The sequence below is a fragment of the Homo sapiens genome, chromosome 3 (genome assembly GCF_000001405.40).
Source record: "Homo sapiens chromosome 3, GRCh38.p14 Primary Assembly".
Lineage (NCBI taxonomy): Eukaryota > Metazoa > Chordata > Mammalia > Primates > Hominidae > Homo > Homo sapiens.
Genome location: NC_000003.12, coordinates 99,831,982 through 99,859,147, shown reverse-complemented (window position 1 = coordinate 99,859,147; position 27,166 = coordinate 99,831,982). Strand labels below are relative to the sequence as shown.

Genomic DNA, 27,166 nt, shown 5'->3' with positions numbered 1-27,166 from the left:
ACCAGGCAACTTAGTGGTTTCCATACTCTTATTTCAAATTGGAGTTTCAAACAAAACACAATGTCTTATGAAAACAGTTTTGTCATTTAGGACTTTTCTGTGGACTGGGAGAGAACATTTGAAGGCAGAGAATCTCCCATCTATGTTTGACGGTTAGCAAGTGACTGGCTTTATTAATGATGGAAACATCAAAGCAGTGACTAAGCCAGTGAATTGGGGGACTTCATCAGGATGAAGCAAAAGGCTGACAGAAGAAGCACAAGGTGACAGCCCAAACCAGACGCTTTTCCAGAGAAAGACAAATTTGCCACTGATGTTTCAACTGTCTATCCTCTGGAGTAATGGTTCTTAAAGTGTGGCCCCCTTTGAGAGTGAAGAAGATATCTTCATAATAACACAACCTTTTTCTCTCTCATTCTCTCAGAAGTGTATATGGAGTTTTCCAGAGGCTCCATGACGTGTGATGATTTCTCTGACAGCTAATGGAATGTGTGAAACAGATCTGAGGATACAGCTGTCTTCAATTAAGCCAGACATTAGTTGCAGAAATGTAAAACAATGCAACTCTTCTCACTAAATAATTTTGTAAAAGTATTTTTTCATAAAAATATGTTATTTAGCAGATGATGGATTTATTATTATTTATTATTTTTAACAAATGATTTTTTTTAAATTTTATTTTTGAGACAGAGTCTTGCTGTGTCGCCCAGGCTGGAGTGCAGTGGTGTGATCTCAGCTCATTGCAACCTCTGCCTCACGGGTTCAAGCAATTCTCCTGCCTCAGCCTCCCAAGTAGCTGGGACCACAGGCACGTGCCACCATGCCCAGCTAATTTTTTGTATTTTTAGTGGAGACAGGGTTTCACCATGTTAGCCAGGATGGTCTCGATCTCCTCACCTCATGATCCGCCTGCCTCAGCCTCCCAAAGTGCTGGGATTATAGGTGTGAGCCACTGCATCTGGCACTAATGAGTATTTTTAAAATCTTAGTTTGAATTTCTAATACAGTAAAGAGATAGATACAGCCCATACACTCAAAAGCTCTTTAGGGTCCTCAAAATTTTTTGAGTGTAAAGGGGTCATGAGACCTAAAAGGTTACGAACTACTGCTCTGGAGCCTTTACTGAATTGTGCTGGAACTATCTCCTTTTTCTTTCCTAATTAGCCTATAAACACTTTGAGAATAGGATCCTCTATCCCCTGTTCATCTCAGGATAGCCTTAGTACTAATGATTGTCTTTGTTGTTTGTATATTAAATGAATAAAAGTCTTGCCATATTCATAACATCAGAAACATTAAATTCAAGATTTACATAGTGAACATAGTGAAAAATAGGTTTCCTTAAAGAGACAGATGAGAAGCTAAGCTGACTCTGAAGTTATTCTCTATTTACAGGCTGATTTCTGAAACTAATAGAAACAATACAGTACCATTAATGGCTTGTGGAATTCGTTTTATTGCTTGATGATCACCCTAAGTTTATTTCTATGGACCAAGCATCTGAAAAACTGCAAAACAATCTGTGAAAACAGAAACATAATTGATGTTTTAGGGTGGTCAGATTATAGATATTTCCTTTCCACTGTCACTGCTGTTGATACAATGTTGCTTATGTAATAAACAAACATATTTGTCCAGTAGATCTCTGGACTCTGAGGAAAACATAAAATAGTCACTCCTTTGTTAGCAGAGTTGATAAAGCCAAAGGAGACTGATGGGCTAGGATGTGGACGTTTACCACCTAACCCTGTTCTCCTCAAACAAGCAAGCACATACAGTTCTAATGCAGGGATCTGAAGAAAGGAGAGAAGGACCTGTTCCAACAGTGTTGATTCTTTCTAGAGGCTCTGTAGCTATGAAATAGAGAAAATAATGTTCTTGGAGAACACTGATGGGAAACCCACTCATACCTCATTTTCTTAAATGCCTAAAAACATGTACATGGTAAATATTAGAGCATCCTCTTAAATAGTGAATAAAACTACTTAGGACAGTGCTACAGTATTTTTCACAAAAGGGAGTATTTGTTCATTCTTTCATTTATTCAAAAAAAATTCATGTGGTTCCCTCTACATATAAGTGCTTTGTGGTAGACACTGTAGGACACAGAAATGAATCAGACAGTGATACTCATCCTGTTCTCAAGAAGTCTGTATTTTAGTAGGGTTGACTGTAATGTACAAAAAATAAGATAAAATCAAAAGCGGTAAGAATTATAATATAAGTTATTATGGGTATGACTGGTATTATAGCATTTAGATATACCATGTGTTTCATATGTGTATTATATGATGCATTATTACTAATACTCAGTGTCTCACAGAGGAGATAAAATATAGGCACACATCTGTGCTGACATATATTATATGTGTCTGCAAATAAAAACTGAAAAAACCCTCTGAGTGTATCATTTGTAATGAAGAACCAGAATTATGGTTAGTACCAAAGAATACTGAAGATGACAGATGTGATGTTTTTGAAAAAATAAGGAACTGGTATTGTACATAATAATAGTGATAAACCACAGTAAGTTATAACAATTCTGAGCCATAGTAGAAACTCTAACGGAAAGCTGTAATAAGATACTGCTTTAAGCCAGTTTGGATTTAATTACCTCACTTTTGTGTCCATAAAACCAGCTTCCACAACCCATTTTTATTGGAGCGGATTCACTGAATGTTCCTATAATGCTGTGGTGTCAGTACTAGAACATGAATATGAGTACTCCAAGACAATAGTCTTTAAACTGGGGTACATGTACCCCTGAGGGTACATAAAGACTTTCTATGGGTACAGGCATGGAGAGATTTAAGGGATCAACGTCTACGTCCACTATTCATACCTATACTCTTTGTGTTCTATGACTTCTCCTTTTCCAACAACACTTTCAAAACAAACTTCTTAGCAAACTCTTATCAAGTGCATCTTCCTGGGTTGGAAACCCCTCTGGGGCATCAGACAAAGGTACAACTATAGAAAGCCTTAATCCTGAGAGTCCTATGAGGACAGAGCAGAGCAGAGCAGAGCAGAGCAGAGCAGAGCAGAGCAGCAAGAGCAGCAGCAGCAACAGGTTCAGAACCAAACAATGGATGGAGCAGTGCCTTGTTTCTTCAGCTGAGGACAATGCAGGGCAAGTCCTCATGCCTTATCTTTTAGAAATGAGATGGGTACCAGAGGGATATGTATTTACAGATTTCGTTAGGTTGAAAAATGAAGTCAGACTTTTCCTGAATGACTGGTTTGGCTGTCCGATTTGTTAATGAGGACTTTTACATTAGATGGCAAATGTTAAAATATATCCTTTTACAACTATTTAAACATTGAATGAAAGAATCTAGATGCCAGTTAAAAATGTGAAAAGGAGTACTTAGTTTTTCAACATTCTTTTGGCAGATATAAGAACAAACATTTAAAAACCCCTGCTCTGAGAGATACACACTTTTTAAAAAGAATACAAATGCAATGTTAAGTAAGATTTTTTAAGTTGATAGTTCTCCATTCAGAGTGTTCTTGATAAAAATCCTTGTGTGTGGACCAGCCCTATGCAATGGTTTGTGTTCTTTGCAATATAATGTGGGGAAATCGCACAGGCTTTGCTCCTTCTTGACCTTTGTGAGCCTCAATTTTCACAGCTATAAAATGGAGATAATCCTAAACCCTGTAAATTTGTCATGAGAATTAGAACCGACAGATGTACAGACTCAGCTCACTGCTTGGCAACACATCACTGGCACTAAGTAAAGAATGGCAGCTATTATATATATATTTTAGTCTTTGTGCTGTGTGAGAAAAACCACAAATTGGAACTAAAATCATTTAACGCCCTTTTTGCATGAAAATGTAGCTACTGACCCACCAACTATGGTATGCATTTTGAGTCATTTTGTTCCCCAGAAATGTGGACAGATTTTAGTTAATTTAGCCATATTCTCTCACCTGGTATCTTCTTTGAAAAAAATGGGTGGTCATGTAGGTCAGGAATACAGGCTGTGGTACTGCAGACTGGGTATAAATCAATAATGAACAACAATTGGCAGAGTTAATATTCAAACAGTATCCCATTTCCAGGAAACATCTGACATGTAAATGGTAAAGCCTTGTTACCCACAGTCAGTCTAAGGGCCAGCAGACTTGACATCATCTGGGAGTTTGTTATAAGGCAAATTGTGAGGCCCACCCCAGACCTACTGAATTGGAGTCTGCAGTTTAACAAGATTCCTATGTGATTCAAATGCACTTTACACTGTGAGAAGCATTGGTAAAGAATAGGCCACTAGCAGGGAAGATAAAATCACCAGGTGTACATGTAATTCAGGTGGGAGCTCTCAGTTGCACCTGTTTAATTAAAGCTGAGTAAAGCAAAACGATGGAGTCTAACTTCTACTGACAGACTGACATACACACATGCCACAAACATACACATGCATAGATCAGTAGTTCTCAACTGGAGGTGACTGCCCCCCAGGAGACATTTGGCAATGTCTGGAAACATTTTTAATTCACAACAAAGGGATGCTGCTAAACATCTTGTAGTGCACAAGATGATCTCCACAATGAACAAATTATCTGGCCCCAAATATCAACAGTGCTGAAGATGGAGAAACCCTGGCATAGATTATCCCTGTATAAAGGCACATAAACTGGAACTATTAATGGAAAAAGGAGTCATAATTTGACTACACAGCTCTTAGGGAATGAATTTTAGATCTGCAGAGTTCTGCACCTCAAGGTCTATGCTACTTTGAAGATCATAAAAACCTGGTTAAAAGCAATCAAAATCATTGATCTGCTTTGGCTAGCAAACCGAGAGTTCATGATAACCTGCATTAGCATATAATGCAAGTATCAATGCTAAATCCTGTACATATGCAAAGAAAAATAATGGAGACAGAAAATTAAGTTACTGTGTTGTCTAAAATCCATTCCTACTCAAAGTAGGAAGCAGGCTTAGGAGGCTCAACTCCACACCCTCCTCACCCTATACCTTCTTCAAGACCAAAAACTAGCCTCAAACTTCAACCTTCAAATGCTCCTGGATACAAGGCAAGAAATAACGATTTAGGGTGGACCATTCATCACTATCAGAAGTGCTAATTCCTTCAAATTCAGTAGCATAACCAGCTGTCTTTCCCTCTCTCTGACACACATGTACAACCACACAATGTGTAACAGCATTACACGCAAGCAACTGGCTCTGAAAAGATTCCATCAGGGCCTCCTGCTCTCAGTTCTCACTGGTTCCTTGTCCTGAGCTCCCAAGTTGATGGCTATGGGTATAGTTTTTTCTGCATATAAATTCTTGTTTACCTTCCCGACAGGCTTTACTAGACTAGACAGCTGACTGTCCTATGGTGCGCTCATGAGAGTGGCCCAAGAAAATAGCAGGTTATTGGAAAACAAGTAGTAAGGAAATGCTTAGAGAAAATGCATTCAAATAATCAGACAGAACTTGGGGAACAGATGGGGATGCCAACTAATTTACAAAAACCATGAAAAAGATGCTTATGTTTGCATCATGCTGAAAAATACGCAACATGCCCCAGGCTGAAAAATATGCATCATGCCTACTCCAAAAACACTGAACAAAATGGAAGCAACTGAATTTTTTTCTAAACCTTTTTTGCAGGTTACTGCACTGCACTCACTAATCACCATTCCCTTTTAATACTCTTTTAATTATACTGCAAAACAATCTTCCCTCCCTTATATCCTAAGAAAACACACCCCCTTCTCATAAAAATGACATAGCACATGCTATAATTTAATAAGTTGAAAATAAATATTTAAAAGCTTTTGTGAAACTGTTCTCTAATAAAACTGTAAGAACTGTGGTGTAGAGAGGGGAAAAATATTTCACTGTAATTATGCTCAAGGCATTGTCAAAACCATTACATCGAATGAATTCTAATGCTAAGGCAGGAGAAAGAAGCACTTTGCCAAAGTTTTTTTTAACTATTTCACCACCAAAGCAGTTTACCCATGGACTCTGCCACTGGGTTGAGAAGTCCCATGACCATTTGAGAAGAAGCTGCTATGCTTATCTTTTCAGGCTCTCATGTGTCTCAGATAGGGATGGGGCATGGCCAGAAACCATGGGCAAGCCTTTTGCCAAGACCTTGGATGAGATCATCATCAACGACACCCCAGCATCCTGCCTAGCATCTTCTGAATTTTATAAGCCACAGCCCTTGGGCCAGCCTCCTGTTAAGTTCTCAAAACAGAAAAAACTAAAAGTGGACTCCCACAAAAAAGATGCAGAATTCTTATACAATTATTTTCAACATGTTCCTCCTATGGAATGTAATTACAGAAAATTACAGAAAAGAGCAGATTAGAATCTCAAAAAGAAGGACTCAATTTCCAAGACGATGACCCTAAATTAGTTTCCTTTTAAAATGTTCTCTCAGCCGGCACGGTGGCTCACACCTGTTATCTCAGCACTTTGGGAGGCCGAGGCAGGTGGATCACAAGGTCAGGAGATCGAGACCATCCTGGCCAACATGGTGAAACCCTGTCTCTACTAAAAATACAAAAATTAGCTGGGCGTGGTGGTGCGTGCCTATAATCCCAGCTACTCGGGAGGCTGAGACAGGAGAATTGCTTGAACCAGGGAGTCAGAGGTTGCAGTGAGTCGAGATCGCCCCACTGCACTCCAGCCTGGCGACAGAGTGAGACTCAATTTCAAAAAATAAAATAAAATAAAATAAATAAAAAGTTCTCTCAAATCCTTACACAACTTTCAAAAAGTAAGTTCTGTGATAAGGATGATAGACATGCATTTGATAATTAACTCATTCCTAATAGAAAAGATACATTAAAGTTTTATGAATTCTCTATACCTATCAGAATGTAAGTAGTCATAACTTCATCCATGACAAGTCCTTTGGTTCAATTCCTTAGGGATTCCATTCTATTTTAGCTTCTGTATAACAGTACTGCAAAGCTGTAATTACATCCTCTATAATCAGCCCATTCGCAGTATAATTGAGAGTGCCACAAATTTAAAACTTTGACCTCACTACTTAAGTGGAAGAGATAGTTTATACTACATGTAAAATACCCTCCTGTTATGCTGACAAATTTAAAACATAAAAGAAGAAAATAGCATGTCATAGTAGTCATCATTTAAGAGGGAATTATTATGTTCCTGATAACAGAGTTTCTCTTCTGTCATGTCTAGCATCAGACTCTCATCAATAAGCACTTTCCTACCAAACCGCATGCTCTTCTCAAATGTTATGAAAACACCAAACCCATACAGATGTCTCTCAATTCTCCTCATTTAATTGCTATCCACTATGAGGATAAGATATATGTGAAGTAGTTCCTAGAATAATGTTGTGCTAGTGCAAACCAAGTTTTAATTGGCACAGAGGTCTATCAGTGAAGTGCATAACTTCTAAGCAATGTGACTAAATTTTTTCTTAACTAAGAATCAAGGACTTGAACATCAAACATTAATTGAACACTTTGGTTCAAGCAAGCCATTTGATAAATATAATAACCATATTAATAAAGACAGCAGCAACAACTAATACCAAATGCTTACCATGTGCCAGGACAATGAGAATCTTAGATGAATTACCGCATTTAATTTTCATAAAAAGCCCCTGAAGTAAATAAAATTATTGCCCCCATTTTTCATATGAGGAAATTGAGGCTCAGAGATGTTAAATAACTGCCCAGATCAATTAGTTGGTAAGAGTAGGGTCGGCCTTGAAGCCAGGTCTAACTGCATCATCTCAAGCTTGTGGCTATTTTCACAGCCTTCAGGCCAGACTGCCTACTAATTACATGTTACCCAAGCAATTTAAACTAAATATTCTTGCCCTTACTCTTTTACTAAGGCTCCTGGTGAAATGCAGCTGTTACTGATCAATGGTAGTCAAATAAAAAAGCAAGATAACTTTATCAAGATTTTCCTCTGTCATCAAATTCAGGAACTCTTTTGCATATTGTATATGAACTGACACAGCTCATATAATTACATAATTTCTAAATTACATATATATTTAAGTACATTCGATGAGTTACTAAAGCATCAATCACAAAATAAAATGCACTTTACATTTTTCAGATTAAAGAAGCTAATTGATCAAGAAATCAAGTCTCAGGAGGAGAAGGAGCAAGAAAAGGAGAAAAGGGTCACCACCCTGAAAGAGGAGCTGACCAAGCTGAAGTCTTTTGCTTTGATGGTGGTGGATGAACAGCAAAGGCTGACGGCACAGCTCACCCTTCAAAGACAGAAAATCCAAGAGCTGACCACAAATGCAAAGGAAACACATACCAAACTAGCCCTTGCTGAAGCCAGAGTTCAGGAGGAAGAGCAGAAGGCAACCAGACTAGAGAAGGAACTGCAAACGCAGACCACAAAGTTTCACCAAGACCAAGACACAATTATGGCGAAGCTCACCAATGAGGACAGTCAAAATCGCCAGCTTCAACAAAAGCTGGCAGCACTCAGCCGGCAGATTGATGAGTTAGAAGAGACAAACAGGTCTTTACGAAAAGCAGAAGAGGAGCTGCAAGATATAAAAGAAAAAATCAGTAAGGGAGAATATGGAAACGCTGGTATCATGGCTGAAGTGGAAGAGCTCAGGAAACGTGTGCTAGATATGGAAGGGAAAGATGAAGAGCTCATAAAAATGGAGGAGCAGTGCAGAGATCTCAATAAGAGGCTTGAAAGGGAGACGTTACAGAGTAAAGACTTTAAACTAGAGGTTGAAAAACTCAGTAAAAGAATTATGGCTCTGGAAAAGTTAGAAGACGCTTTCAACAAAAGCAAACAAGAATGCTACTCTCTGAAATGCAATTTAGAAAAAGAAAGGATGACCACAAAGCAGTTGTCTCAAGAACTGGAGAGTTTAAAAGTAAGGATCAAAGAGCTAGAAGCCATTGAAAGTCGGCTAGAAAAGACAGAATTCACTCTAAAAGAGGATTTAACTAAACTGAAAACATTAACTGTGATGTTTGTAGATGAACGGAAAACAATGAGTGAAAAATTAAAGAAAACTGAAGATAAATTACAAGCTGCTTCTTCTCAGCTTCAAGTGGAGCAAAATAAAGTAACAACAGTTACTGAGAAGTTAATTGAGGAAACTAAAAGGGCGCTCAAGTCCAAAACCGATGTAGAAGAAAAGATGTACAGCGTAACCAAGGAGAGAGATGATTTAAAAAACAAATTGAAAGCGGAAGAAGAGAAAGGAAATGATCTCCTGTCAAGAGTTAATATGTTGAAAAATAGGCTTCAATCATTGGAAGCAATTGAGAAAGATTTCCTAAAAAACAAATTAAATCAAGACTCTGGGAAATCCACAACAGCATTACACCAAGAAAACAATAAGATTAAGGAGCTCTCTCAAGAAGTGGAAAGACTGAAACTGAAGCTAAAGGACATGAAAGCCATTGAGGATGACCTCATGAAAACAGAAGATGAATATGAGACTCTAGAACGAAGGTATGCTAATGAACGAGACAAAGCTCAATTTTTATCTAAAGAGCTAGAACATGTTAAAATGGAACTTGCTAAGTACAAGTTAGCAGAAAAGACAGAGACCAGCCATGAACAATGGCTTTTCAAAAGGCTTCAAGAAGAAGAAGCTAAGTCAGGGCACCTCTCAAGAGAAGTGGATGCATTAAAAGAGAAAATTCATGAATACATGGCAACTGAAGACCTAATATGTCACCTCCAGGGAGATCACTCAGTCCTGCAAAAAAAACTAAATCAACAAGAAAACAGGAACAGAGATTTAGGAAGAGAGATTGAAAACCTCACTAAGGAGTTAGAGAGGTACCGGCATTTCAGTAAGAGCCTCAGGCCTAGTCTCAATGGAAGAAGAATTTCCGATCCTCAAGTATTTTCTAAAGAAGTTCAGACAGAAGCAGTAGACAATGAACCACCTGATTACAAGAGCCTCATTCCTCTGGAACGTGCAGTCATCAATGGTCAGTTATATGAGGAGAGTGAGAATCAAGACGAGGACCCTAATGATGAGGGATCTGTGCTGTCCTTCAAATGCAGCCAGTCTACTCCATGTCCTGTTAACAGAAAGCTATGGATTCCCTGGATGAAATCCAAGGAGGGCCATCTTCAGAATGGAAAAATGCAAACTAAACCCAATGCCAACTTTGTGCAACCTGGAGATCTAGTCCTAAGCCACACACCTGGGCAGCCACTTCATATAAAGGTTACTCCAGACCATGTACAAAACACAGCCACTCTTGAAATCACAAGTCCAACCACAGAGAGTCCTCACTCTTACACGAGTACTGCAGTGATACCGAACTGTGGCACGCCAAAGCAAAGGATAACCATCCTCCAAAACGCCTCCATAACACCAGTAAAGTCCAAAACCTCTACCGAAGACCTCATGAATTTAGAACAAGGCATGTCCCCAATTACCATGGCAACCTTTGCCAGAGCACAGACCCCAGAGTCTTGTGGTTCTCTAACTCCAGAAAGGACAATGTCCCCTATTCAGGTTTTGGCTGTGACTGGTTCAGCTAGCTCTCCTGAGCAGGGACGCTCCCCAGAACCAACAGAAATCAGTGCCAAGCATGCGATATTCAGAGTCTCCCCAGACCGGCAGTCATCATGGCAGTTTCAGCGTTCAAACAGCAATAGCTCAAGTGTGATAACTACTGAGGATAATAAAATCCACATTCACTTAGGAAGTCCTTACATGCAAGCTGTAGCCAGCCCTGTGAGACCTGCCAGCCCTTCAGCACCACTGCAGGATAACCGAACTCAAGGCTTAATTAACGGGGCACTAAACAAAACAACCAATAAAGTCACCAGCAGTATTACTATCACACCAACAGCCACACCTCTTCCTCGACAATCACAAATTACAGTAAGTAATATATATAACTGACCACGCTCACCCTCATCCAGTCCATACTGATATTTTTGCAAGGAACTCAATCCTTTTTTAATCATCCCTCCATATCCCCCAAGACTGACTGAACTCGTACTTTGGGAAGGTTTGTGCATGAACTATACAAGAGTATCTGAAACTAACTGTTGCCTGCATAGTCATATCGAGTGTGCACTTACTGTATATCTTTTCATTTACATACTTGTATGGAAAATATTTAGTCTGCACTTGTATAAATACATCTTTATGTATTTCATTTTCCATAACTCACTTTAATTTGACTGCAACTTGTCTTGGTGAAATACTTTAACATTATAAAACAGTAAATAATTTGTTATTTTTACCATTGCTTGCTGAATTTTCTTTTGGTCATTCTGTGTTATATTTCTGCATGTACAATAGAATTTTGTCTTTTGCTTATAGTCTCTATTAATTCTTCCTTAAAAACAAACAGGACCTATGTCCCATTTATGGTCAACTTCTAATCACATATTAGAGGAGAGAAAAGTGGTTCAAATAAATAAAAATTACATCTCTTTGATTTCAAAGTGAACTATAAGATCTTTCAGAAGCAAACATAACTTCATGCTTGGGATATATTTCAGTATCTCTAAGAGCCCAGCACAGTGCTTAGACTACATTAGGAACTTAAATGTTTATAATAATGAAATAAAATACTACCGAATAATTTTGGTTTTCATGAGCACATAGAAGCAGATGATAAAATTAAAAAGCTCTGACATGTGATAGGAAGCCAGAGAAAGTACATTTGGAAATATAGTTACATTGACAAATCAAGAGTTGACTGTATTTCTACCAGAGATCAAACCTCCCATAGAACATGTATGTCTACAACCAAATCTGGAACCAGCCACTGTGACATAAACTCTTGAACACTCTACTTCAAAGCAAAAAAAAAAAAAGAAAATGTCATTCTTGTTTCTTTTTCCTATGGGGTTCCCAAAACAGTTTGAATTACTTAATGTAGGTGCTACCTACCCTGTTCATAAGGGGCCTGCATTCAAAAGCTTACAGTTTTTTTTTTTGTTTTAACCTCTTACAGTTTTTTTTAAACAAGCAAATAAAAGCCAAAGATAGTTATGAACATAAGCTATAGAAAAGGCATATTTAAAAAATACAGTATGTTAGTTGAAAGAAGTAATATAGTGTGAATTTCTTCTGTGATTATTATGCCATTTACAATATAGATGAGAATAACTCAGCCGAATCCTCCTAGAAATTCTGATATCTGCCTCATGGGAGTCCCTGGGGATAATCCATACTTCTGAGCAGAGAACAACAGCTTTCAGGGAACATTTAAATTACAAGTATGGTCCCCAAGTCACATTCCAAAACGACGATTTCAGACAAAGTAGCTTATTGCCATTTCCCTTTTTCTAACCTCATAATTGTTAATTTAGTGTGGTTAATTTTATTGCCAGTTATTGATTTTAAATACAATTCATTTAGACATCCAGGCAAACTGTGAAGATCTTTAAGAATAAAAGGAAGCTTTCACAATTATCCTCCTTTCCCCTACAAAATCAATTTCATGATAGTAAAGCGAGGATTTGTTGACAGAAACACTTCCATGGTGACGAACTGCAACACCAACGCTATGGGCTTGCATCATCATTAAATAAATTTGGATGAAAGCTGAGGCTGCTGATGAATGAGAAAGCTTCTGTTTAAACACATTTATCTTAGGAATCAACAGTGACCCAACTGTATTACAAAATACATGATGGTCTAAATGTTTATTAAAACTGTTTTTAAGTCACCTTGGGCCAGAACTCTAGAAGGAATGGCAAACTTAATTTTAGCTCTTTCAAAACAGACAATGATAATGCTGCTGCTTCATGAGATCTTTTTCTAGTTACTGAGAGTGGGTACATGTAATATTTTGGAAGGCATCGATCAACTGATCATAAAATTATGAACAATGGAAATCAGAATTTAAGAACAAAGTCTTCCCAACTTTGTCACATAATGGCATAAACAAAACACATGCTTGTGTGGCACTGGGGGAAACAGATAAAGAGGCAGAGATAACCAGCCAAGGGATTCCCATCACCCCAGGTTCCTCTTGGCTGTCCCAAGTGCTGGTGGGGGACGGGGGGAGGGAAGAAATCCATTCTTGGCACACTTGTAACTAATAGAGTTTGGGAGCCAAATTTGGGCTATTCATCAGCCCACCCATTTTGAAAGGATTCAATTTCTTATGTGAGCTACAGAAATTCTCTATAATAAAGTTAACACCATAAGTCTTGTGTTCTATTATGATAATGCACAAATTCTCATTTAATCATTTGTTCCAGATTTTAACTATATAGAGGCTTCCTAAGTAGTTAATCTAACATAACTGGAAATTTACCAAACTTTCAAGGAATACCTCTTTTAGAAGTACCTCTACTGGGAGGATTCCTTCAGTATAATAATTTGTATCAGCATCAAAATAAATTTTAGGAGACAGATTAATAACGTGTAGATTATTACAAGTGTTACTAATTAAAGTTCATAAAGGCAGCATAATTTCTGCAAAACATCTTTTTTTCTATAGAATTACACCTAAAATGACACAATGTAGATTTCTGGCCTTTAATTTTGAAAAGATTTCTTATATTTTTTTGTGTGCGTGTGAGAGAGGAGAGAGAGAAAGAGATTGGAAGATTACAGAACTTCCTTTTTCATTGACAGATAATCATAGAACTCCCCCAAAAACCAGGAAGGAAAGAGGAAGTGACACTGGAAAATCTTCAGAAATCTTCATATGAAATATGTGGGGGTGGAGGGTTGTATTCTTTGGTCCATGAGGGCTCACAGAAGATAGACTGTTTTTTCGTCTCTCTGAAAAACTCATACCATTCTTTCATTGGTCTAAGTCCTCGCTTCAGAACGAAGTTTCATTTTACTCACATTCCCACTATCTCTTTAACTCTTTAAAAGGTAGAATCCTATCACAGATTCGAATGATTTTATCATGTTTTTTCTATTTAAAAGCAATGGCAAAACTTTCCCCAGGAGGATGCCACTGCTCTCTAGGGGCACTGACAAAAATAAAATTGTCATCCTTACTAGAAGGACATTGTGCATTACTACACTTGAATCTGTACACATAAGAAAGAATCTTGATACTTGTTCAATCAAGATCATGATAAAATTACATACACTCTTTGTAAGGTCTCCACAACTATATTTTACAATGCTAAGACATTAGGCTTGGGGTCTTCATGACACCAGTTTTATTAGTCCATTTTTATACTGCTATAAAGAATACCTGAGACTGGGTAATTTATCAAGAAGAAAGGTTTTATTGACTCACCATTCCTCATGGCTGGGGGAGGCCTCAGGAAACTTACAATCATGGCAGGAGGCAAAGAAAAGCTAAGGCACATCTCACCTGGCAGCAAGAGAGCGAGAGAGTGCACAGGGGAAACTGCCACTTTTAAACCATCAGGTCTCATGAGAACTCCCTCAGTATCACAAGAACAGCAGGGGAAACCACCCCACGATCCAAACGGGGATTTCAGTTAGGAGATTTGGGTGAGGACACAGAGCTAAACCACATACATAACCCATAAAGGATAAAATTAGGGGAGCTGTGAGATGGTCATAGAAGGGATATTTTATCAAAAATTTTAGAGATTTGTAGTCTAAGGATTCTATGGTCTTTACTGGTTGAAGTAAAACTCCCAATAAAAACGTTTTAGTAGCTTCTTTGATTCTGAATATTTACAAAGTGAGTCTCCTTTGAAATATGTTAGACAAAGGCAGGGAAAGACCTTTAAATTAACCAACACTCTAGCTTTTTCCTATACCCTGGTTTCTGTTATTAAGATTTTTTTCCTCCAAATAATCATTTTGCTTTGTAATCCCAAGAGAAAAGATAGGCAAAAATGCATGCCCCAAAACTCTTATAGATCAGCGTATCTCAGAGTAAAATCCAAGATACCTGTGTGAGAATCCCCTGATATTAAGTTCCACTCAGAGCTATCCAATGAGAACCTCTGGGGGCGTAGGGCCCAGAAAGCTGCATTTTAACAAACTCTTCTGCTGGTTAATTGTGCCCTAAAACGGTACTTCAAATTTTGATCTTTTTCTGGGCTAGCAATATGCTGTAAGATACTCTCTCCCAGTGCTGGGTAGTGGCAGTGAGCCACAGCTCCCAGTCAGCCACACAATCATGAGGGTAAACAACCGATACTGTACAGCAGCAGTTCCCAATTTGGCACAAGGGACTGTTTTCATGGAAGACAATTTTTCCATGGGCGGGGGGTTGGGGGGATGGTTTCAGGATGAAACTGTCCACTCAGATCATTAGGCATTAGCTAGAGTCTCATAAAGAGTGCTCAGCCTAGACCCCTCGCATGTGCAGTTCACAATAGGGTTCGTGCTCCTATGAGAATCTAATGCCACTGCTGATCTGACAGGAGGCAGAGCTCAGGCAGTAATGCTCGCTTGCCTGCCACTCACCTTCTGCTTGCCGCTCGGCTCCTAACAAGCCATGGACTGCTACCAGTCCGTGGCCCAGGGTTTAGAGGCCCCTGCTCTACAGTGTGCTGTGTTGCTAGACAATTTTGCCCAATTGTAGATTTATGTAAGTGTTCTCTGAGCATGTTTAAGGTGGGCTAGGCAAAGCCATGATATTCAGTAGGTTAGGTGTATTAAACATATTTTCAACTTTTAATATTTTCAACTCACAGTGGGTTTATGTGGTTCTAACCCCATCATAAGTCAAAAAGCATCTGTATTGACAAGCACTGGCAAATGTATTCTGACCATAGTCCCTCTCTTTAAATTACATCTGTAGTAGGAAATGTGGCTATTCTACCCTCTAGTGGCTGGCATGACAAACAGAAGGTTTATTCTCCAAGTTTTCTTTTTATTTAAAAGGAAAGCTCAATAAAAACTTCCATTTTATTGGGTGGGAAGATTCCCGGTTTTATAACTGTAGCAAAGCATAGATGCCTAAATCTTTGGCTGAGCTAAAGTAGGCTGTCTGACACCTACAAGGTCTGTTTCTCTCTCAATCCCAGGCCCTCAACTTAAATCTGTAGCATTTCTTGGGAAGGGTCCAGAACACACATTAAATAAGGCAGTTAGATGAACCAAAACAAAGGACTCCATTCAACTTATGGCACAGTGAAGCAAATACAAGAAAGAGCAAGGAAGACAAGTAGTTTACTAAGGTTCTCAAACCTTAAACCCCATTTAAATTCATTTTACTTAAACTTCAAGCCCTTTCCTTTCCAGCAGATGGACCCTTTCCATTCCTCAAGGTACATCAAGAAGGGTAAGGCTTTTGGGCAGTCAATATATCAGAGCAGCCATCCCCCAAAGGCAATGCTGTAGGGTAAGGAATCTTGAGGGAGTCTAGCGAGTTAACTGGCCAACACCTCTAAGTACTTCATAATTTGATAATGAATTAACACCATTTACATGGGAGCACTTACAAATCTGTCAACATTCCATCAGGTACCAGGTTTTACAGTTAGAATGCCACCATAAAAATGTATTCAGGAATAACCTTTGGCATTGCAGTCAGCCATTCCAGGGATAATCACTTTTATTTGTGGCATCATTTAAAATTTCATTGTCAAAATTGTTGATCAAGAGAAATAAAACTTATCTTATTATTTGAGGCAATATTTTGAAAAACTGAAACTAGTTTTCTTATTTTAGTGAGTTCTTCTTCCTCCTCATAGCCAAATGGTCCTGGTATGATATTTGAGGGGTTACCTGAGACCATCTTTTTTTTTTTTTTTTGGCCTGTTTTAATTTATTTATTTCAATAGGTTTTTGGGGAACAAGTGGTGTTTGGTTACATGAATAAGTTCTTTAGTGCTGACTTCTGAGATTCTGGTGCAACCATCACTCGAGCAGTGTACACTGTACCCAATGTGTAGTCTTTTATCCCTTACACCCCTCCCACTCTTTCCCCTGAGTCCCCAGAGTGCACTGTATCATTCTTATGCCTCTGTGTCCTCATAGCTTAGCTCCTCCTTATGAGTGAGAACATACAATGTTTGGTTTTCCATTCCTGAGTTACTTCACTTAGAACAATAGTCTCCAATTCCATCCAGGTTGCTACGAATGCCATTATTTCATTCCTTTTCATGGCCGAGTAGTATTCCATGGTGTATATATACCACATTTTCTTTATCCGCTCATTGACTGATGGACATTTGAGCTGGTTCCATATTTTTGCAATTGCGAATTGTGCTGCCATAAACACACTTATATGCAAGTATCTTTTTCATATAATGACTTCTTTTCCTCTGGGCAGATACCCAGGAGTGGGACTGCTGGATCAAATGATAGATCTACTTTTAGTTCTTTAAGGAATCTCCACACTGTTTTCCATGCTCGTACTAGTTTACATTCTCACCAACAGTGTAAAAGTGTTCCCCTTTCACCACATCCACACCAACATCTATTATTTTTTAATTTTTTTGATTATGGCCATTCTTGCAGGAGTAAGGTGGTATTGCACTGTGGTTTTGATTTGCATTTCCCTGATAATTAGTGATGTTGAGCATTTTTTTATATGTGTGTTTGCCATTTGTATATCTTCTTTTGAGAATTGTCTATTCATGTCCTTAGCCCATTTTTATGATGGGATTGCGCCTGTTTTGTTCAGCTCTTTAAAGGCTAGCCATATTTGGACAACTACAATATACAAATATAAGCCCTACAGACCTACAAAGCCTACCTCGTCCTCAGCCATTCCTGAGGCTTTTGGATAGGTGGAGGTGAGGTTACTAATGAATATTCATGCCTGTGGTGGTTACAAGCTAATACAGAGGGAATTGAGACTTCCGAGAGAGGACCTTTTAGAAAGGTCTAAACAATAGAGGGAGTTATCTGCTGTTCCGGCAAAAGGCAAAGGTGGTTGGTTATCTACATTATTTTTCTGCCACAGGCATAGTAGAAATGGAAAGCTCCAGTTTATCTGAAAACTCTAGTTTATAATTTGATATATTTGAAAGAAACAAAGGTACAATGTATTAACACAAATATAATTGTTCAAATGTACATATACTCTGGGCCAATCTGTCAATCAAGTGAGTGGAAACGATCCTTATGCAACCAAACTTGTGTCTCAGTGACATGCGCAGTGTCTTAGTATGCAATATGTTTTCTTCAAAGCATCACATGTACACAATCGATCAATCCACTGATCATGACACATTAAACTGTGTACCTCTTACTTGCCACTGGGGCAGATATTATGGAGATGAAAGATTCACTGCCCTTGAAGAGCTTATTAACCTGGGCAAAGAAATGAAACAAGAGTATCAGACAACATTTAATCAAGTGGGAAACTGTCAATCTCTACCAATAAACTGGAGATTAAGGAAGACCACAGTAGATTAACAAAGCCTCAGTTAAGTGAAAAGATTGGGGGAAGGAGCACTGGAGGCAGGCAAATAGATCAGGTTCTAGTTTATGCCTTTTCTAGTCAGCTGTGAGGCCCTGGACAAGTCATTTAACCTTTGTGAAATAAGCGAATTGAACTTGGTGATCTTTAAGATCACATCTGGTTCTAACTTCCAATGACTTCTGAATTTGAAGTCTTGCCACCCTCCTTAAATCATTTAAAATTCCTTTTGGGAAATAAAGTTGGAGCATAAATAAGCCAACAACCTGCATGAGTTTCTTTCCTCCAGAAATTAAACTTCTTCCTCATTTTTCCACTTACAGATGTCAAAACTACTAGATGTTTCCTTCTCTAAGATTCTATGAATTGGCTGGGCATGGTAGCTCATGCCTGTAATCCCAGCACTTTGGGAGGCCAAAGCGGGCAGATCATGAGGTCAGGAGTTCAAGACCAGCCTGGCCAACATGGTGAAATCCCATCTCTACTAAAAATACAAAAATTAGCCGGGCATGGTGGTGGGCACCTGTAATCCCAGCTACTTGGGAGGCTGAGGCAGGAGAATCGCTTCAACCCGGGAGGCAGAGGTTGCAGTGATCTGAGATCACGCCACTGCACTCCAGCCTGGGCGACAGAGCAAGGCTGTCTCAAAAAAAAAAAAAAAAAAAAAAGATTCTACGAATTAATTTCTTTTACCCCTAATCCTATCAGCTTTTTCTCCCCATTATTCTTTCAACTTTAGGACTATTAATGGTTTTGGCCTGGTAACTCTTTGTTGTGGGGAAGAAAGAGGTGTTCATGCACTGTATAATGTTTAGGAGCATCCCTGGCTTCTACTTACACACCATGTAGCATCCCCCAACTGTGACAATAATATCTCCAGACATGGCTAAATATTCCCTGAAGGGCAAAATCGCCCTCTGGTTAAAAATCACCACATTAAAGAGATGGACCAAGTGACTCTATAAGAGTTCCACTCTTATATAACACTGTGGGAAAAATCTGACAACTCATATGAAAACTCTTATGTCTGGTGTCTAGAGATGAGAACCTTGAATCTGATGAAACATAAGCCTCAAAGCAACTTTAAAAACCTATACTGAAGAGTTTTGTTGCATAATTGTTTCCACTTACTTGACAGACTGGCTGAGAGCATGTTCATACTTGAACATCTATATTTGTATTATTACAGTATTTTATACTTCTGTCTCTTTCAAAGATACCTGAATTCTAAACTAGAATTTTCAGGTCAACTAGAGCTTTCCATTTTTCATGTGCCCTTGGGAGAAATAAGAGTCTAGAAACCAACCACCTTGGCTTTAAATGGAGTCGGGGGAGAAGGGAATTGGTTTTCAGCAGGAATCCCAAGAATTGAAGAGATAACTCTCTACTGTTTAGACCTTTCTAAAAGGTCCTCTCTGAGAAGCTGCAATTCCCTGTGTATTATTAGCTTATAACCACCACAGGCATGAATGTCTTCTATTAGGATACAGGCTTCCTTCATTCCTCAACCAATCACCTACAAGAATGAACCAACAAATATTTATGAAGCATGCAATATTGCTCATTATTGTGCCAGGCAGCTATGCAGATGTTAAAGTTTGGAATAAAAGGTGGGAGTTAAGGGGTAGCTTAAAAGGTAACTAAGAGCTCAACACAGAGAAGGAACTATATAGACAGTAAGTACTACAGGATTTTAGAGGAAGAGCAGGTTACTTTCAGGTGGGATTTGGGGATCAGGCTTCAGAAACAGATGAGAATTGAGCAGGGGATACAGGATGGGGAAGACTAGGATATAGAGAAAAAAGAAAGGTGCTCCAAAGAGGTGCCCACAAGGTAAAGGTGTGGGGGCAGGCAGGAGGGCAGATAATCAACATTCAAGGAACAGTGAGCAGTGCAATGTGGATGAAGTTGAGATGGTTGGGGCAGGGTAAGGCTTAAAGGGCAAAGACCTGTTGATTGTGAAGAACCATGAATACAGCACTAGGGAGTCTCTGTGTCTTCACAGAAGGTTTCTGCATAGTGAGGTAACATAAAAGAGAGGGCAAAAAACAAATCCATTATACAATATTATTTTATTTTACAACAACCCTAGAAAGTGGGTATTATGACAACTTTAGGGATAAGTAGATTAAAACTCTGACATATAAGGAAAGCTGTTCCAGGTCATTCTGTTAGTATGTCACAAAACTGAGGAGTGAAAACAGGTCTGATTCTGTTGCCCCATTCTCTTTCCGTGGCAACACACTGAGTTGCAAGGGGTTTTAAATTCATTATAAGTTGAATTTGATCCTTTCCACAATCTGTGGTGACAGACAGATTGTCTAATGTTACCTCCTTGTGCTCCACCTCACAGATCTGCCACTTCAGCCAGAACACTCAGAATGTCCCTAAACATATGCAGGGCTTTCTCCTCCCCACTTCTCTACATGGACACAATTTTCATCTCTTGTCAAGTGAAGTAAGACCCACACTGAAGGGTCTGTATCAATGCTCGCCTCTTCTGAAACCTCCCATGATCACCATAGCCAAGAGTGATTTGCCTCTCCTTCCAACTCCACCTGCTTCCCTGAAGCCACTGTTAGGGTGACAAGAGATAATGAATGTGAGAAGCCAAGCCCCACACAAATGGGCAGGCACGGGGAAGACTGACCTGGGATAGGAGATGTGAGAAAGCAAGTCCAAAGAGAAGCTCATGTTCTCATTAGGAGACTGTTCTCAGAACACAAAAGGTGCAGTCAGTGTCCACTTTATCCTAAGGTAAGATTCTATAAGCAAAGGGCACAAATGCCAAGCATGAAGAATGAGCTTGGACAGGCAATCAATATGTGCAGAGCAGGAGGTACCTGATTAGCCTCAGAGATGATGGGATAGAAAAGCATCAGAAGTGAGTGAAAATGATTCACGGAAGGAACATCACAACCATGCACATCTGAGCTTATAAGTAGGTGGCTGCCTTGACAGTTATGATAATGACCCAAGACTTTCAGAAAAGGCAATCAAGGGATCAAGGTCCAGCCACTATAAAGACAAGCACCACCAACTTAGGCCACATTTGGTGTGATTCTGCCTTTGCAGAAACAGAAAATTTTCCCAGATGGTACACTCTAAATCTGGATTTCTATTTCTCAAGGAACACTGTAACTTAATAAGACTGGCACTCCCAAAATCATTTTTTAGAAATAATCACTATGTATCTTCCCAGGTCAGAAGGAGAAGTGTTGGGGTTCAACCCTGTCAGTCTCCAAATTCAGGAGTACAAAACTGTAAACCAAGGAAGCATCCCAAGTAAAAACTGCCACTGCAAAGGAAAGTTGTCAAGTTGGCTCCTATGTCTCCCCTCACAATACAATAATCTGCATCAACACAGACACTCTTCAAACAACTCAAAGTAATTCCTCAAAAATGCATTATTATCCTTTACAATTAGTGGTTTGGCTGTTTTTTTTTTTTCTCTCTTCTCTTTAACTAGAAAAAGCTATTCTTCTTCTATTCTTATGCCTTTTCATGGTGTTCTTGCCTGAATTCACTGTGCCTGAGATCAGTCACTTTTGAAGCCTCAGAAAACCACTGTTTTATATAAACAGGAGCTAACTAAAAACTGCAAGAGGTCCTCAAAAGTTCCATAACACAAGAGGCAGATAGTTATTCCTTTAGGGCAACAGGGAGGGAATCAGTGAGTACGGATCATGCTGAGAAGAACAGCTCTCATAGTAATTTATATAAGCAGCCCATTTATTTCATATGAAATTTCCTGATTATAAGAGTATGTATTAATTACAGAAACTGAAAAATATAAATGCTTCTGAGGCTGCTGATTATAGCTTCTAAGGACAATGAGAAGACTAGGGAGAACAATGGACGATTATTACTATTTTTTTAGGCCAAACCTATCAAATATGGTCCTATTCCAGGTTTTTCTCAGACTGCCAATAAGGAAGGAAATACGCTTTAGGGAGGCTATCCTGTCCTTACTGCATGGCTCTGTGCCACAAAGTGGCAAACCTTTCTGCGAGTACAAGTTTATGTAATTTGTCTGATTGGTTCAGACACAATGGCTGAGGGGCCAGCCAGGTTACTGGAAGAGAGGTGCAGGATTTCCTTTCCCCTAGCAAGCCAATCACTCCCTGGATAGTGGTTCAATCACTATGTACTGTTCAAGTAATGGGAATAAATGCCTCCTTAGGTGGCTGTTCTCAGAACTAGTTATATTCTTATCATTAAGATAGAGTGGCCTTGTGCAGAGGATGTGGGCACATGGTAGGGTCCCACAAAATTCATCTCAGGCTCTGGGAAAGGGATGTAGAAGTACCTATGGTGGGAGAAGAAAAGAGCGGCAGTTGAGTGGGAATTACATTTTTCTCTCTGGCTGTCTCAGGCACTTGAGTAGTATCAACAATTTCTCTACCACGATCCTCAAAGCAACATCTCCAAAATTTCAACTCTACCAAACAGTTCCACATGGAAGGCCCAACTATACACTTCAAACTTAGCATGCGCCCATAACCCAATATACTATCTTTCTTGAACTGCTCTTTGTCTCGCCTCTATTGATGGTCCATCACCTTCCCCACTGCTCAGGTTCAACATCTGGGAACTATTCTCCACTTCTCTGCTCATCCTCCACTCTGTCATATTATTTCTTTCTCTGTCCTCCCCACTTATTTGTACTACTACTCCCCAAGCCCAGAATTTAGGACAGATGGTACTGTAAGATAGTTAATCTACTACACTTAAATCCTCACCTCTATAATCCAGCCTTAAATACCATTCTGATCACAGCAATTCTCCAGCCTCCCAGAAAACAGCACTTAAAATTGCTTAGTGCCCAAAGTCCAAACCTTCTACCATGGCCTTCATCTTTCGTTTCATCTCCCTTTGAAACTCTGGACATACCCTCACATCTTCACCAGGACACCATACTAACTATCCTCCCACATACTACTGGGCCTTCTTACCTTTGATCATGCTGTTTGTAGGGCTGAAATACTCTTCTTCCTTTGTTCCTCATACTAAAATCCTACTCATCCCTCATGTGTCACTTCCTCTGGAAAACCTTCCTTACTTTTTAGTTTTCCACTGAGTTTCCAAAACTGCTGTCTGTAATTCTATTATTGCACGTCATTCTACCTCATAATTATTTGTTACCCCTCCTATGCTATCATCTCAAAAGCAAGAATCAGCTATCATTTATTTTTGAACTCCTTATATCAATGTTTCTTAAAATGCAGTCATTGACCACCTTCATCAGAATCACATATGACTTTGCAGAGTTTCACATTCCCAGACCTATTAATTCCCACTGCAGGGATTCTGCATCCTAACAGGCTCTCTGGGCATATAAAATTTAAGAACCATGGTCCTATTCTACCCAGGACTTAAATAGTGCTCATAGTAGGTGCTCAACAAAAGCTCATATGGCTAATAAAGGCACCTGGTAGCCATAGCTGGCCTGCATTTGTCCTTTTCACAGAATCACAGAATGTCAAAGCCAAAGGACTTTACAGGTGATCTAAAAGAACTACTGCATTTTTCAAACAAAAGACATGAAAACAGGAAAGAACAGATAATGTCTCTGGGTGAACTCTAAAAAAGAAAGATTCACAAGGACCAGACAAAGTAGCATAAGGAGGATAAAGGACATGTGAGTGGGCCTTTTCTGGGTCAAAGGTGATTAGAAGTATAGCCCAGGAATCAGTGCTGCTTATTCAGCTGCCTTAACTCCCACCCTTAGCAACATATTGCCTATAAATAATTGGAGAGAGAGGAAAGTTGAGAGATAAAGCAGGAAAACAAGAAAGGTAAAACAATCAAAGAAGTTAGGATTATGACCAAGAAATAGGCATCTTAAGAAGTGATATAAGGAAAAAGACAAAGATGATGCTGATGATGATCACAACAGGAACACCTAACACCCGAAACTTTAGATGGGCCAGGGACTTTATTACACAATATCTCTACTCCCCAAAGAAAACTTACAAGTAGGTATTTCAATCCCCAGATGAAGATTACAAAAGAGGAAACTGAGGTTTACATGGGTAAAGTGTTTGCTCAAAGAGACACAGCTAGTTAGTGCCAAAACTAGAATGAAGACCCAAGACTGGCTCCACGGCTTGTGCTCTAGATACTACCCAAAGGCTGTTATAAGATGTAAGCCTGAGAATGACTAAAACAATTAAGTGGGTGCAAATGAAGAAATGAGAAAGACACAGGAGAGGGGAGGGAGGAAAGGGTACAAAAAAAGAAAAGCTGAGTAAAAGGAAAAAAGTTCACAGATGGATAAAAAGAGAACAAATGAGGAAGACAAGTATTTAAGGTTAGTATATTTTATTTTAACAAAGTATTGCTACATCTGATGCTTGGTCTGACACAAAGTGGGGGCAACTGGGTTTGGAGCGATTTTGAAAACTTTATTTCAATGTTTATTCTTGGATTGCCCCCACTGCTGACTGTATAATTTCCACAGAAAGAGAGATTGAGAGGTGACTAGGTACAACCACAAACCATGATACATTACAGAATAAAGGCACCTATTTACTCTAACCTTTGCATCAGATATTGGACAACTCTTTAATATAAGCCATAGAAGTAGAACACTATTCAAAACCAAATGATCTCTCATAGGAGGTTAATGAGAATGAGCTAATAAAATCAAACAGCTTTCCTTTGAAAGACCCTTTCCTGTATAAAGCGTAAAACTTGTAGTGATAAAGTTTCATTGTTTAATAGGGGAGCTCTGAGAAAAATCAAGAGAAAAAAGCCAAAGCATCATTATGAAATTTTGGGCTAGCTGCCAGATTCATTATCTCTTATTTCCATTCCACCACTCCCCATAAATTAGCAGTGATTTGTCAAACAATATAAAAGACAAAAGAAAAGAAGGCAATAATATTTCAAATATATTTTTCTTCAGTTTAGCATTTCCTTCTTTTCATCACCATATCCATCATCATTGCTTATATACTTTCCCATTAAACACTGAGATAAAAACAAAACTACAAAAACACTGTCAATTCTGATAACACATGGCCTTGGCCAAGCATTCCACAGCTAAGTCCCCAAGGGAGTGAGCAGCCCTGAATCCAACCACCGTCCCACACCACCTCAATTACCACATATCAAAATGACCAGAGGTCTCTGGGAGTCTTCAACTTCTCAACCTCTAGAGCTAAGGTGTGATGCAGTCCCTGGAGTCAGGACCGCTCCTGAGAAAACACTGCTTTCTTACACAACACGTTGTCAATACAGATCAAAAAGTTCAAAGCACTTACAAAATTAATTTCCTTTAGAGAAAAGGAAACATCCTGACTCCAGCTGTCTGAGATCTGATAGTTTCTCCATAAATGCTGATTTTGTTCTGGTATATTTGTGCTCCATGATAAAGTGGAAGAACAAAAGAGTCATGTAGAAATTGGGCTATAGAACTGAGACTTTGAATACAACTGAAAACACTTCACCTTTCCATACTTCTTTTGCTCATTATGACTCAATGCCTTCTAATAACTCACTGTAACCAGGGAGTCTTCTAGATTGCTAGGTTTCTTTTGAGAATCTATGGATAAAACAAACCAACACTTTTAGAATTTAATATATTCCACAAATTTACTCCTCTTCTTTCTACTGCTCCCTAGGTGGAACCACTTCTTCTGCCTCATTGAACTCAACATCCTTCAGACTTTTAAGGCATTCCAAATCCCAGTCTTCATGTTGAACTGGGTTAAGCATTTATTAAAAAATCGTTTTCTTCTATGAATGAGCTTTCCAACTTGCTTAATCTCCTCCAAGACATCTGCTCTTTGATGAAACCCAGGAGCCTCCAACTCTGAGTAGAACATTCACTGTGTGGTCTTAAAAGAGCCATATGCATGTATTTCTCTTGCAATATGCATTCCAAATTTGGACAAAACTTTCTTGGAGCTATTTGACATAACGCTCTATAAAAATGATCCAAGAGATGACACATTTTAATGCTCCATACCTCATTTACTGAAACATGTCCAAGGATAAGTCATACAAGAAAAAAAAAAAAAACAACTTTTTTTTTTTTTTTTTTGAGACAGAGTCTTGCTCTGTGGCCCAGGCTGGAGTGCAATGCTATGATCTCGGCTCACTGCAACCTCCGCCTCGTGGGTTCAAGCGATTCTCCTGCCTTAGCCTCCAAGTAGCTGGGATTACAGGAGTGCGCCACGACGCCCGGCTGTTTTGTATTTTCAGTAGAGACAGGGTTTCACCGTGTTGGCCAGGCTGGTCTCGAACTCCTGACCTCAAGTGATCCGCCCGCCTCAGCCTCGCAAAGTGCTGGGATTACAGGTATGAGCCACTGCGCTAGGCCTTTTTTTTTTTTTTTTTAAAGATTTGGGAATGGCTGGGCGCAGTGGCTCACACCTGTAATCCCAGCACTTTGGGAGGCCAAGGCGGGCGGATCATGAGGTCAGGAGATCGAGATCATCCTGGCTAACACAGTGAAACCCCGTCTCTACTAAAAATACAAAAAATTAGCCGGGCGTGGTGGCGGTCGCCTGTGGTCCCAGCTACTGGGGAGGCTGAGGCAGGAGAATGGCGGGAGCCCGGGAGGCGGAGCTTGCAGTGAGCCGATATCGCGCCACTGCACTCCAGTCTGGGTGATACAGCGAGACTCCGTCTCAAAAAAAAAAAAAAAAAGATTTAGGAATGACAATTGGGGTTGTTCTGATAAAATAACAAGCCTTTGCTGCCATCTAGAGGTAAAAACTACGTAATGAAAATGGAGTTACCTAGAAAACAAAAGCTTGCACATCAATGGTGTAGAAACAAGTAGGAGCCCAGTAACCTTCAGGCAGCTGGGCCTGAAAGTATCAGTGACCACCATTCCAAGCCACATTTTCTTCACCAACACGTATCAGTGTTGCTCAAAAGAAACGAGCTCCACCAA

At 39.3% G+C, this 27,166-nt stretch overlaps 2 protein-coding genes and 1 long non-coding RNA gene across 14 annotated transcripts in view, besides 1 other annotated feature; 1 reads left to right on the top strand and 2 right to left on the bottom strand.

The window, feature by feature from the left end:
* CMSS1 (cms1 ribosomal small subunit homolog) overlaps nucleotides 1-27,166 on the bottom strand; it is a 363,871-nt gene that overhangs the window by 322,585 nt on the left and 14,120 nt on the right. The window lies entirely within an intron of this gene.
* LOC105374010 (uncharacterized) overlaps nucleotides 1-27,166 on the bottom strand; it is a 223,532-nt gene that overhangs the window by 182,246 nt on the left and 14,120 nt on the right. The gene's annotated exons all lie outside the window — the stretch shown is intronic.
* FILIP1L (filamin A interacting protein 1 like) overlaps nucleotides 1-27,166 on the top strand; it is a 285,691-nt gene that overhangs the window by 255,354 nt on the left and 3,171 nt on the right. For 5 of the 12 annotated variants that reach the window (NM_001042459.3, NM_014890.4, XM_011512371.3 and 2 more), the window contains one exon: nucleotides 8,078-11,425. The exons of 2 other annotated variants lie outside the window; for them this stretch is intronic. In NM_001042459.3, coding sequence (NP_001035924.1) covers nucleotides 8,078-10,874 — 2,797 coding nt within the window. In that variant the 3' untranslated portion in view covers nucleotides 10,875-11,425. Of the gene's footprint in view, nucleotides 1-8,077; nucleotides 11,426-25,886; nucleotides 26,005-27,166 lie in introns of those variants that run through there. 5 more of the 12 variants (NM_182909.4, NM_001282794.2, NM_001387850.1 and 2 more) reach the window with 3 other exon arrangements.
* Nucleotides 15,152-15,653: an enhancer, noted in NCBI's record as "H3K27ac hESC enhancer chr3:99562339-99562840 (GRCh37/hg19 assembly coordinates)". NCBI's record gives its function as "activates a minimal SCP1, AML or CMV promoter by ChIP-STARR-seq in naive H9 embryonic stem cells {active_cell/tissue: H9 hESC(naive)}" and the evidence as "EXISTENCE:reporter gene assay evidence [ECO:0000049][PMID:30033119]".